The sequence below is a fragment of the Homo sapiens genome, chromosome 19, assembly GCF_000001405.40.
Source record: "Homo sapiens chromosome 19, GRCh38.p14 Primary Assembly".
NCBI classification, from domain to species: domain Eukaryota; kingdom Metazoa; phylum Chordata; class Mammalia; order Primates; family Hominidae; genus Homo; species Homo sapiens.
The window spans coordinates 21,899,217-21,911,682 of record NC_000019.10 but is presented as its reverse complement, the minus strand read 5'-3'; the positions used below and the strand labels follow the sequence as shown (position 1 = coordinate 21,911,682).

At 44.7% G+C, this 12,466-nt stretch overlaps 1 long non-coding RNA gene across 1 annotated transcript; it reads right to left on the bottom strand.

Annotated features, from left to right (window-relative positions):
• Nucleotides 1–462: 462 nt before the first annotated feature.
• LOC105372326 (uncharacterized) lies at nt 463–4,003 on the bottom strand. The gene is made up of 3 exons (XR_936436.4): nt 3,916–4,003; nt 3,432–3,486; nt 463–546 (listed from the first exon to the last, which is right to left on the bottom strand). It is a non-coding gene; the product is annotated as an uncharacterized LOC105372326 (long non-coding RNA).
• Nucleotides 4,004–12,466: the final 8,463 nt, after the last annotated feature.

The following is a 12,466-nucleotide window of genomic DNA, read 5'->3' as shown; positions in this document are numbered from 1 at the left end:
GATCCATGCCCATATGGATTTGCTGCCAGTAACAGGTAACAGGTAGGAGAGAAGTGTAACATCACCTAGGTGCTGGGTCCAGAAATACGTCACAGTACTCTCTTAGGGGAGAGCCCAGAAAAAAGTGTCATATTTCCTAGTTTAAGTGCTTAGAGATATGTCACAATGCCTCCTATGGGTAGGACCCAGGAGGAAGAGAAGAGTCACATAACCTAGAAGCTGTGCCCAGTTATATGTCACAATCAGCCCAGTGAGAAGGGCCAAGGCATCAGATGATGGTCACATCATATAGGTGCTGGGTCAAATGATATGTCACAATCCCCCCTGTGGACAGATCCCAGGAAGAAGAGGAGACTCACGTCTTCTAGTAGAAGAGCCCAAAACTATGTACAATGATTATTGTGGACAAGGATCAAGGCAGTAAAATAACATGACCTGTGTGCTGGCCCAGTGAGAAGTCACTCTTTCTTCTGTAGGTGTGGCCCAGGCAGGAGAGCAGAGTTACATCAACTAGGTGCTGGGCCAAGAGGTATGTTATAGTCTCTCCTATGGGCAAAGAGCAGGTATAAGAATATAATCACATCAAAGAGTTGAGCTTTCAGAAATATGTCATGATGGTTCCTGTGGTCAGGCTCCATGCAAGAGACTCACATCACCTTGGTTCTGGGCCCAACAATATGTCACAATGTGTCACAAGAGTAACATTACTTTGGTATTGAGCCCAGTGATATGCTACAATCTCCCCTGTGAGCAGAACTCAGAAGAAGGAAAGATACATCCACTAGGTACAGAGTCCAGCAATATGTTACTATCTCACATGTGAGCAAAGACAAGGCAAGATAAGAGAAATCTTCATCTTAGTTATGAACCCAGACATATGTCATAAAGCCCCAAGTAGGCAGTGCCAAGGCAGAAGAATAATGTCACCTCACCTAGGTGCTGAGTCTAGTAATATGCCACAGTCCCATCTGTCAGCTGGGCCCCAACAAGAGAGTCAAATCACTCAGGGGCTGGGAGAGGCATATGTCACAATAATAGTTGCAGAAAGATCCAGGGGTGAGATTAACAATTCTACACATGTTCCAGTTCTATGTCTAAGAGTCAACACCTCCTGAATGTTGAGTCGGTGTACATGAATCACAATCTCAACAGTGGACTGCAAGACAGCCTCGATTCCTCCTGTACCCTGTGTCTTCATAGTAAAGTCACTGACTCACTGCTGTGCTGAATCATAGTGTGAAAGTCAACAATGAACCTGTGGACCAGATCTATGTATACAAGTCAATTTTCTAACATTTGACTGCCTTCAGATGTAGGATTCAGAACCTCAACTGTGGGCAGTGTTTATGTGAGAGCATAAAAATATTTACTGTTGGCTGGGTGTGCATGTGAATGTCACAATTTCATTTGTGTTCTGGGCCTTGTTAGTACAATCTCTGTATCACCTGTGGTCTTTATATGATATGTATGACAGTCTCAATCTGCTTTGAGACCTTCATGTTGATATGAACCACAGATTGGATCTGTTTTACTAAGCACAGCTATGGGAGTCAATATCTCTCTAACTGGCTGGGACCAGATGGGAAAGCCATTACTTGCTTATGAACTGGGTTTAGAAATGAGTCACCCTTCCAACTGTGGCCAGATATTCATGTATAACAGTCACAAATTCAGCTGTAGACTTATTCCATGTGTGGAATTCAAATCACCACCACTGAATTCTGTCTATATATGAGAGTGACAATCCTAATGGTTGGAGAGTTGTACATACAGAAAACACAACCTCATGTTTGTGCTGTGCCCTGTAATGCTTCTCTCTGTGCTATCTTTTACAAAATGTGACAGAGTGGTAATTCTTTATGACACTCGTACAAAGAAAAGACTAAGTTTCTTACTCTTTTTCTTATGATTGGCTATGAGAGACAGTATCTCTTTTATTAGCTGTTCAAGGTATGAGATTCATTATTGTACCTGTTACCTGGGCCATAATACATACTACAATTTTATCTGTAAATAAGTAGGGAGCAGAAGAGTGATACCACTTGTTTGCTCAGCCAGAAATATGTCACAATATTTCCTGGAAATAGGGACCAAGCAGGAGAGACACAGCACCTGGGTGCTTGGCCAGTGATATGTTAAAATTTCCTCTTGAAAGCAGGGCACAGGAAACAGAGTAACATCACCGGTGTGCTGGTGTTTTCTGTATTTCACAATGCTTTCTGTTGGCAAGGCCCAGGCAAGAGAAGCAAGTCACCTGGGCCTAGTAATGTGTCACAAATTTTTCTGTTGGCTGGTGTAGGCAGAATAGGAGAGTAACATTTTTTAGGTTATGGATGTAGAGAATGTTACAAGGCCCCCTCCGGGCAGGGCTGAGGCAGGAGCCTTCTGTCCCATAAGTGTTGGGCCCAGTGACATATCACAATACCCAGTATATCTTATGATCAGGTAAAAAAGGAGTCACATCACCTAGATGCTGAGTCCAGTCATATATAGCAATTCCCACTTTTGGTGAGGCCGTGGCAGAAGAGGAATGTTACATCACCTAGGTGATTAGTGAAAATATGGCAAGGCCCATTCAGGAGAGTCACATCAACTAGGTGTTAGGCCCAGCAATATGTCACAATATGCAATGAATGCAGGGCATAGCCCAAAGAGAAGAGTCACATTACTGAGGTGTCTGGCCCAGCAAAACATCATCATCTGTCATTGGCAGCATAAAAGCAATTGAGGAGAGTAACATCACCTAAGTACTCGGTCCAGAAATGTGTCACAATGCCCACTGAAAGGATGACCCATGCATGAGGGCTACCTCACCTAGGTGGGGGTCCCAGAGATATATCACAATGCCCACTGCAGGTAGAACTCAGGAAAAAGAGGAAAGTCACAAAATCAAGGTCAGGGAGCAGCTATATGAAATGATCTCTTCAATGGGCAAAGCACAGACTCACATCCTGAGTCTGTGCTCATGAAAAGAGACTCACATCACTTATGTACTGTACCAATCTATATGTCACAATCGTCACTGCAGACAAGTACCAGGAAGAAGAGGAGAGTCACATTATCTAGAATACTGTCCTGAATATATGTCACCATGACCCCTGTTGACAGGGGTCATTGTGACACATCTGTTTGTGTGATGTGCCCATTGTGTGAGGGGTTCAGCAATAAGTCACCCTCCCTTCTGTGAGCATGAAACAAGCAGAAGAAGAGAGTCACATTACCTCACTGCTAGCCCAAAAAATATGTTAGAATATCTCCTAAAGAAGGAGTCATATAAGAGATAAGGGTCACATCAAATAGTTGATGGGCACAGAGATATTTTGCAATGCTTCCTGTGTGTAGGGTCAAGGCAGAGACTCACATCAGCTTGGTGCTAGACAAAGAAATATGCAACAATGTCTTCACAGGGCATGGCCTAGGAAAAAGAGTACCTTCATCTAGGTATCGCGTTCAGTAATTCACCACAATCTTCCCTGTGGGCAGAACCTAGGAAGCAGAGAAGAGTTACATCAGCTAAGTGCTGAACTCGGTGATAGGTAAAAATCTCCTCTGTGAGCAGACACCAGACAGGAAAAGAGTCCTGAGTGATAGACACAGAGATATGTGACAATACCCCTGTTCCCCTGGCCCAGGCAAGAGAGTCACATAACCTGGGTGTTGGACCCTGCAATATGTCACAATGACCCATGAGGGCAGACCACAAGCAGGAGAATCAAGTAACCCTTGTGGGGCAGTGCCAAGGCAGAAAAAGAGACTCACATCACCTGGATGTAAGGTCCAGTGATGTGGCACATTGCCCTCTGTGGGTAACTCCGAGACAGGAATATAGAGTCACATAACCAAATGCTGGGCCCAGCAGTATGTCACAATCTCCCCTGTGAGGGAAAACAAGAAAAACCAAAAGACCCACATTACCTGGATGAATGGCAAAGAGATATGTCACAATGTTCCCTGTAGGCAAGGACCAGACAGGAGAGTAGCATCGCCTGGGTGTAGGACTCGGTAATATGTCACAATTGTCCACATGGGCAGGGCACAGAAAGGCTCACATAACCTGGGTTCATGGCCAAGAAGTATGTCACAATGTCCCCTACGGGCAGCACCAAGACAGGAGAATAGAGCCACATAAGCTAGAGGCTGGGTCCAGCAAAAATGTCACAATTCTGTTTGTGAGCAGGAATCAGGCAGAGGAGAGTCACATCACTGGGGTAACAGACACAGAGATATGTCACAATGCTCCCTGTAAAGAGGGCTCAGGCAGAATAGTTACATCACCTGCATGTTTGACGCAGCCATATGTCACAGTAAGTGTGCCAGGCCACAAAAGATTCACAGAAAACTTAGTGTGGGGCCCAGCAATATGTTACAATGCCCTCTGTAAAAAATACCAAGATGGCCAGGTGTGGTGACTCACGCTTGTAATCCCAGCACTTTGGGAGGCCATGGTGAGCGGATCACCTGAGGTCAGGAGTTGGAGACCAGCCTGACCAACATGGATAAAACCCACTTCTACTAAAAATGCAAAATTAGCCAGGTGCAGTGGCACATGCCTCTAATCCCAGCTACTCAGGAGGCTGAGGGAGGAGAATTGCTTGAACTTGTGAGGCAGAGGTTGTGGTGAGCCGAGATCGTGCCATTGCACTGCAGCCTGGGCAACAAGAATGAAACTCCATCTCAAAATGTACCAAAATAGAAAAGGATTCTTACATAACCTGTGTTCAAGACCCAGCATTATGTCACAATGCCCCCTGTGTGCAGCTCAAGGCAGGAGAAAAGAGTCACATGGGTGCTGGTTCAGCTATATGAAACAATCCCATCTGAAGGCTGGGTCAAAGAACAAGAGTCAAATTACTTCAATGTTTTTCAAAGGCATATGTCCCAATCAAAAATACAGGGAGGTTCAGTAAAAGGATTAACAATTCTGCACATGTCCTGGTTCTAGGTATGAGAGTAAGCACTTTCAGTATGTTGGATATAAGTACACAAGTCATGTATTAATTCAGGACCTCAGAAGTGGGCTCTGTCTATGTGTGAAGGTGACATTCAAAGTGGTTGAAAAGTGTGCATGCAGAAAACACAATCTCACCTGGGTGCTGAAACACTCTGTGCCACTGAGGAGCTTTATTCCATATTTAAAAGAGTGGAATACCTCTATAACATTTGTGCAGAGGAGACCTAGCATTCTACTCATTTGCCAATACCTAATAACAAGAGACAGTATCTCTTCTATTTACTGGTTTGAAGTATGAGAGTCATCATTACACCTGTGAACTTGGCCAAGATATATGTCACAAACAAAACTGTGGGTAGTGAGTGAGCAAGAGAGTCATATTACCTGGATATTGGGTCAGGGGTCTATTACAGTCTTCCCTGAGAACAGGGACCAGGCAACAGTGTCATTAACCTGGGTACTCAGCCAGTGTTACATTGCAATCCACTCCTGAAAGCAGGGCACAGGCAGCAGAATAACATCATCTGTGTGCTTGGCTCGCGGGTATGTCACAATGCTCTCTGTTGATGAGGCCAAAGCAGGAGAGATATATCACATGGTTGCTGGACCCATCAATATATCATAACATTTCTTATTGGCAAACTGCAGGCAGAAGAGGTACATTTCTTAGGTACTGGGTTCCACAGCCAGGAGAAATATGTCACAGGCCCCCCTGTAGGCAGGGCCCTGGCAGAAACCTCCTATATTCTAGGTGTTGGGCCAAGTGATATGTTACACTACCAAAAATATGCAAGTGTCCAGACAAAAGAGAAGTGTTACATCACCTAGGTGCTAGGATTAAGTGAAATATCACAATGCCTTTATTTGGCAAGACTGAGGACCCATTATGTGACGGAAAGAGTCACGTAATATCAGTGATGAATGAAAAGATACTACTGGGTTGAATCACCTAGGTGTTGAACCCAGCAATATGTAACAATACATGATATATGTGGAGTCCAGGAAGGAGAAGAGAGTCACATGACATAGGGGCTGAATACAGTCTTATGTCCCAATATTCCCTGAGTTAAGGGCCAAAAAAATAGAGTCACGTCACCTAAGTGAGAGGCTGATATGGTTTGATTCTGTGCCTTTACTCAAATCTTATCTTGAAATGTAATCCCCATGTGTCAAGGAAGGGACCTGATGAGAGGTGATTGGATCATGAAGGTGGCTCCCCCCACGCTCTTCTCATGATAGTGAGTGAGTTTTTATGAGATCTGATAGCTTAAAAGTGTTTGGAAGGTCTCCCCTCACTGGCTTTCTCTCCTTCTGCCATGTAAGACGTGCCTTGCTTCCCCTTCACCTTCTGCCATGATTGTAAGTGTTCTGAGGCCTCCACAGCTGTGTGAAACTGTGAGTCAATTAAACCCTTTTCCTTTATAAATTACCCAGTCTCAGGTAGTATATTTATAGCAGTGTAAAATTGGTCTAATACAGATAATTGGTACCAGCAGAGTGGGGTCCTGCTATAAAGTTAACCTGAAAATGTGGAAGCAAATTTGGAACTAGGTAACAGGCAGAGGTTGGAAGTTTGGAGGGCTCACAAGAAGACAGGAAGATGTGAGAAAGTTTGGAAATTCCTAGAGAGGTTTTCAATGTTTTTTGACCAAAATGCTTATAGTGATATTGATGATGAAATCCTGGCTGAGGTGGTCTCAGATGGAGATGAGGAACTTGTTGAGAACTGAAGCAAAGGTCATTCTTGCTATGTTTTAGCTAAGAGACTGGCAGCATTTTGCCCCTTCCCTAGAGATCTGTGGAAGTTTGAACTTGAGAGAGATAATCTAAAATTGGAACTTATGTTTAAAAGGAAAGTAGAACATAAAATCTTGGAAAATTTGCAGCCTGACCATGCAGTAGAAATTAAAAACCCAGCCAGGCATGGTTGTTCATGCCTATAATCCCAGCATTTTGGGAGGCCAAGCGGATCACTTGAGGCAAGTAGTTTGAGACCAGCCTGGTCAACGTGGCAGAATCCTGTCTCTATTAAAATTACAAAATTTAGCTGTGTGTAGTGGTGCACACTTGTAATCCCAGCTACTTGGGAGACTGAGACACAACAATCGCTTGAACCCCGGAGGCAAAGGTTTCAGTGAGCTGAGATCGTGCCACTGCACTCCAGCCTGGGTGACAGGGTGAGACTCCATCTCAAGAAAAAAAAAAAAAGAAAAATTTAAAAAGCATATTTTCTGGAGGGAAATTCAAGCTGGCTGCAGAAATTTGCATAAGTAACAAGTAGCCAAATGTTAATAGCCAGGACAATGGGAAAAATGTCTCCAGGGCATTTCAGATATCTTTACAGCAGCTGCTCCTATCAAAGGCTTGGAGGGCTAGGAGTCAAAAATAGTTTCATGAGTGGGGCCCAGGCTTCTGCTCTGTGCAGCTTTAAGAATTGGTGCCCTGTGTCTCAGCTGCTCCAGCTCCAGCCATCGCTAAAAGGGGCCAACTTGCAGCTCAGACAATTGCTTCAGAGAGTGCAAGCCCCAAGCCTTGGTGGCTTCCATGTGGTCTTGGGCCTGTGGGTGCCCAGAAGACAAAAGTTGAGAATTGGTAACTTTTGCCTAGATTTTAGAGGATGTTTAAAACACCTGAATGTCCAGACATAAGTCTTTTGCAGGGGTGGAGCCATTATGAAGAACCACTACTAAGGCAATGCAGAGAGGAAATTTAGGATTAGAGCCCCAACACAGAGTCTGCACTGGGGCACTGCCTAGTGGAGCTGTTAGAACAGGGCCACCATCCTCCAGAACCCAGAATGGTAGACCCATCAACAGCTTGCATAGATCCTCCAACAGCTTTCACTGTGTGCTTAAAAACAGCACTGGCACTCAACACCAGGCCATGAAAGCAGCCACGGGAGCTGTAACCTGCAGAGTCACAGGAGTGGAGCTGCCCAAGGCCTTGGGAGCCCACTTATTTCATCAGTATTACATAGATGTGTAACATGGAGTCAAAGAAGACGATTTTGAAGCTTTAAGATTTAATGACTGCCCTGCTGGATTTTGAGATTCCATGGAACATGTCGCCACTGTTTTGACAAATTTCTCCCATTTGAAACAGGAACATTTCCTCAATGCCTGTACTCTCATTTTATCTTGAAAGTAACTAACTTGCTTTTTGATTTTACAGGCTCATAGGTGGAAGAGACTTGCTTTTTCTCAGATGAAACTTTGAGTTAATGCTGAAATAAGTTAAGACTTTGAGGACTGCTGGGGAGGCATGTTTATGTTTTAAAAATGTGAGAAGGTCATGAGATTTGGAAGGGGCAAGAGGCAGAATAATATGATTTGGCATTGTGTCCCCACCTAAATCTCATTTCTAATTGTAATCCCCACGTGTCAAGGGAGGAGCTCCTGGTGTGAGGTGATTGGATCATGGGTCAGTTTCTTTCACACCATTCTCATGGATAGTGAGTGAGTTCTCATGACAGCTAATGGTTTAAAAGTGTTTGACTTTTCCCCTCTGACTGGTTCTCTCTCTCTCTCCTGCCACCATGTAAGATGTGCCTTGCTTTCTCTTTGCCTTCCTCCATGATTGTAAGTTACCTGAGTCCTCCCCAGCCATGTGGAACTGTGAGTCAGTTAAACTTCTTTTCTTTATAAATTATCAGTCTCAGGTAGTATCTTTATAGCAGTGTGAAATTGGACTAAGACAGGGGCTCAGGAAAAAGAGGAGATTCACATAACCTAGGGGCTGAGCCCAGCTATATGTCACAATTACCTTAGTGGGCAAGGCCCAGGAATGAGAGAAGAGTCACCTTACCTGCTAGGCCAAGTGATATATCACAATGCCTACTGTGGAGAGGTCCCAGAACAAAGAAGACTGTCAAATCATATAGGTGATGGGGCCAGAGATATGTCACAGTGAAATCTGTGTGCAGAAATCAGGCAGGAAAATTACATCACTAGTGTGCTGGTCCAAGAAATAAGTCACTGTCTCATCTGTGGGAGTGACTCAGGCAGAAGACAGTTCCATCACCTAGGTGCTGGGCCCACAGATATGTCAAAATCTCTTTTATTTAAAAAAACTCAAGTAAAAGGAGAGTCATATCAAATAGTTGATGAGCTCAGAGATACGCAGCAATGCCCTCTGTGGACAGGCTCCAGGCAGGAGACTCACATCGCCTTGCTTCTGGGGCCTATCAATATGTCCCAATTCCATCTGAGAGCAGGGCCAAGGGAAAATAGCAATATTATTAATACCTTGGAATTAAACCCCATTATATATCACTATCTTTCTTGTTGGCAGAAAGCTGTAAAAAGACAAAAGACAAATTAGCTAGGTCCTGGGCCCAGGTATATGTCACAATCTCCTCTGTGAGCAGAGACCAGGCAGGAGAAGTGAGTCACATCAACCGGGTGATGGGCAGAGAAATATGTCACAATGTCCTCTGTAGGCAGGGACCAGGCAGGAGAGTTACATCACCAAAGTGTTAGACCCAACAATATGTTACAATGGTCTATGTGGACAGGGCACAGGCAGGAGCGTCACACAACCCTTTTGCAGGGCAGCAATATGTCACAATGCCGCCTTAAAAAAAAAACAAAGACAGAAGAGAAGATTCGTACCACCAGGTTGCAAGGCCCATGATATGTCAAAATGTCTCTTATGGCCAGCACCAAGTAAAGAGAATGAGTCACATCACCTAGGTGCTACCTTTAGTGATATGTCACAAACTCATATTTGGGCAGGCCCCAAGCAAAAGAGTCAAATCACTCAGGTGCTGGAAAGAGACACATGTCACTGTCACTCCTGCAGGAAGGTCCAGAGATTAAATTAAGAATCCAGCACATGTCCCAGTTCTAGGTAACAGAGCCAACATGCCCTTTGTGTTGTGTCTAAGTACATCAGTCACAATCTCAACACTGGACTGAATCTGTGTGAGAGCCTCAATCCCTCTTGTGAACTGTATTTCTGTAGTGGAGTCACATTCTCACACGTGTGCTGAATCTTGATCTTACAGTCACTCACCCTTCTGTGGAACAGAAAGTCAATTTCAAACTTTCCACTGCCTCCAGGTGTGAGACTCAAAACTTCGACAGTGGGCTTTGTTCATCTAAGAAGATGGCAATCTTTACTTCAGTTGGATGTGTATACAAGCTTCACAATCACACCTGTGTGCTGTACCCTGTTAAAATAGTCTCTGTACCACTGAGGGCTTTATAAGGTATGTGTGGGAGTTGCAATTTGCTCTGGGACTTTTATGCTAACATAAATCCATGATTATACTTGTGACCCTAAGCCCAAGCAGCAGAGTCAACATCCCTTCAATTGGCTGGGTCCAGTTCAAATAGTCCTCACTTGCCTATGACCTGGGTTTAGAGATGGGTTACCATCTCACCTCTGGCAGAATGTTCTCATATGATGATCACAATTCCAACTGTGGGCCTCATAGCTGTGTGATTAAGAAACTCATCAGTTGGCTCTTTCTATGTGTGAAGGTGACAATCTTAATGGTTGATGGGGTGTGCATACAATAAACACAATTTCACTTGTGCACTAGGCCCTGTGATGGCACTCTCCATACCACCAGAGAGCTTTGTAAGATAAATGAAAGTGTGGTAATCCTTTATGACCATCATACAAAGAGGAGACCCAGGATCTTACCCATTTCCCTAAGCCTAAAGAGAAAAAATACCTTCCTATTGGCTGGTTCAAGGTATGAGAGTCATCATTGCATCTGTGATCTGTGCCAAGATGTACATGACAATCTTTCCTGAGGGCAGGCACCAGGTAGGAGAGCCACATCACCTGGATGCTCAGCAATAATTACATTAAAATCTCCTTCAGAAAGAAGGGTACAGGCAGCATTGTTCAATCACAAAAAAAAAAAAAAAAATCTGGGCCTACTGATATGTCACAATGTCCCCTATGGGCAGCACCAAAGCAGGAGAATAGAGTCATATCACCTAGGTACTGAATCCAGTGATATGTCACAATTTCATTTGCAAGCTAAGCTCAGGCAGGAGAGTTAAATTACTCAGGTGCTTGGAAGAGGTGTTTGTTGCAATCACACCTGAAGGAAGGTTCTGGGATGAGATTATAAATTTCATACATTTCCTAGTTCTTGGTATGTGAGTCAACACCTACTGCAGGTTGAAAATAAGTGCATGAGTCACAATCTGAACTGTGGCATAGATACGTACATGACAGCCTCAATATCTCCTGCAGACTCTGTCCCCTCAGGGGAGTCACAGCCTTCCAGGTGTGCTGAATCTTGGTCTGAAACTCATCAAACTATCTCTGGAATGAGTCTATGTATGAGAGTCAATTTTCAAACTTTCAACTGCCTCTGGATGTGAGATTCAGAATCTCAACTGTCAGCTGTGTCTGTATGGAAAGATTCAATTTTTACTGATTCTGGGTGTGCATATGAGTGTCACAATGTCACCTGTGTGCTGATCTCTGTAAAAACACAGTGCTATTCAAGGGCTTTGTACAGTATGCATGAGAGTTACAATTCACTCTGTGACTTTTGTGGTGTTATGGACTCCCACTGTGGTCATGGCTAAAGAAAGAGAAGAGAGTCACATCACATAGGTGCTGGGCCCCAAAATATATCAAAATCTCTTCTATAGAAAAAGCTCTGGTAGATTCCATTCCAAGATGGCTGAATAGAAACAGGTCCAGTCTTCAGCTCCCAGTGTGATCGATGCAGAAGATGGGTGATTTCTGCATTTCCAACTGAGGTATCTGGTTCATCTCATTGGGACTGGTTGGACAGTGGGTGAGCCGAAGCAGGGTGGGGCATGGCCTCACCCAAGAAGCACAAGGGGTCAGGGGATTTTCCTTTCCTAGCCAAGGGAAGCCGTAACAGGCTGTACCTGGAAAAACGGGACACTCCTACCCAAATACTGCACTTTTCCCATGGTCTTAGCAACTGGCAGAACAGGAGACTTTCTCCTGTGCCCAGCTCAATGGGTCCCACGCCCACAGAGCCTTGCTCACTGCTAGTGCAGCAGTCTGAGATTGACCTGCAAGGTCACAGCCTGGTGTGGGGAGAGGCTTCCACCATTGCTGAGGCTTGAGTACATAAACAAAGTGGCCAGGAAGCTCGAACTGGGTGGAGTCCACCACAGCACAGCAAGGCCTACTGCCTCTATAGACTCCACCTCTGTGGGCAGGGCATAGCTGAACAAAAGCCAGCAGAAACTTCTGCAAACTTAAACGTCTCAGTCTGACAGCTCTGAAGAGAGCAGTGGTTCTCCCAGCATGGGTTTTGAACCCTGAGAATGGACAGACTGCCTCCTCAAGTGGGTCCCTGACCCCCTTGTAGCCTAACTGGGAGACACCTCCCAGTAGGGGCCAACTGACACCTCATACAGATGGATGCCCTCTGGGATGAAGCTTCCAGAGGAAGGATCAGGCAGCAATATTTGCTGTTCTGCAATATTTGCTGTTCTGCAGCCTCTGATGGTGATACCCAGGCAAACAGGGTCTGGAGTGGACCTCCAGCAAACTCCAGCAGACCTG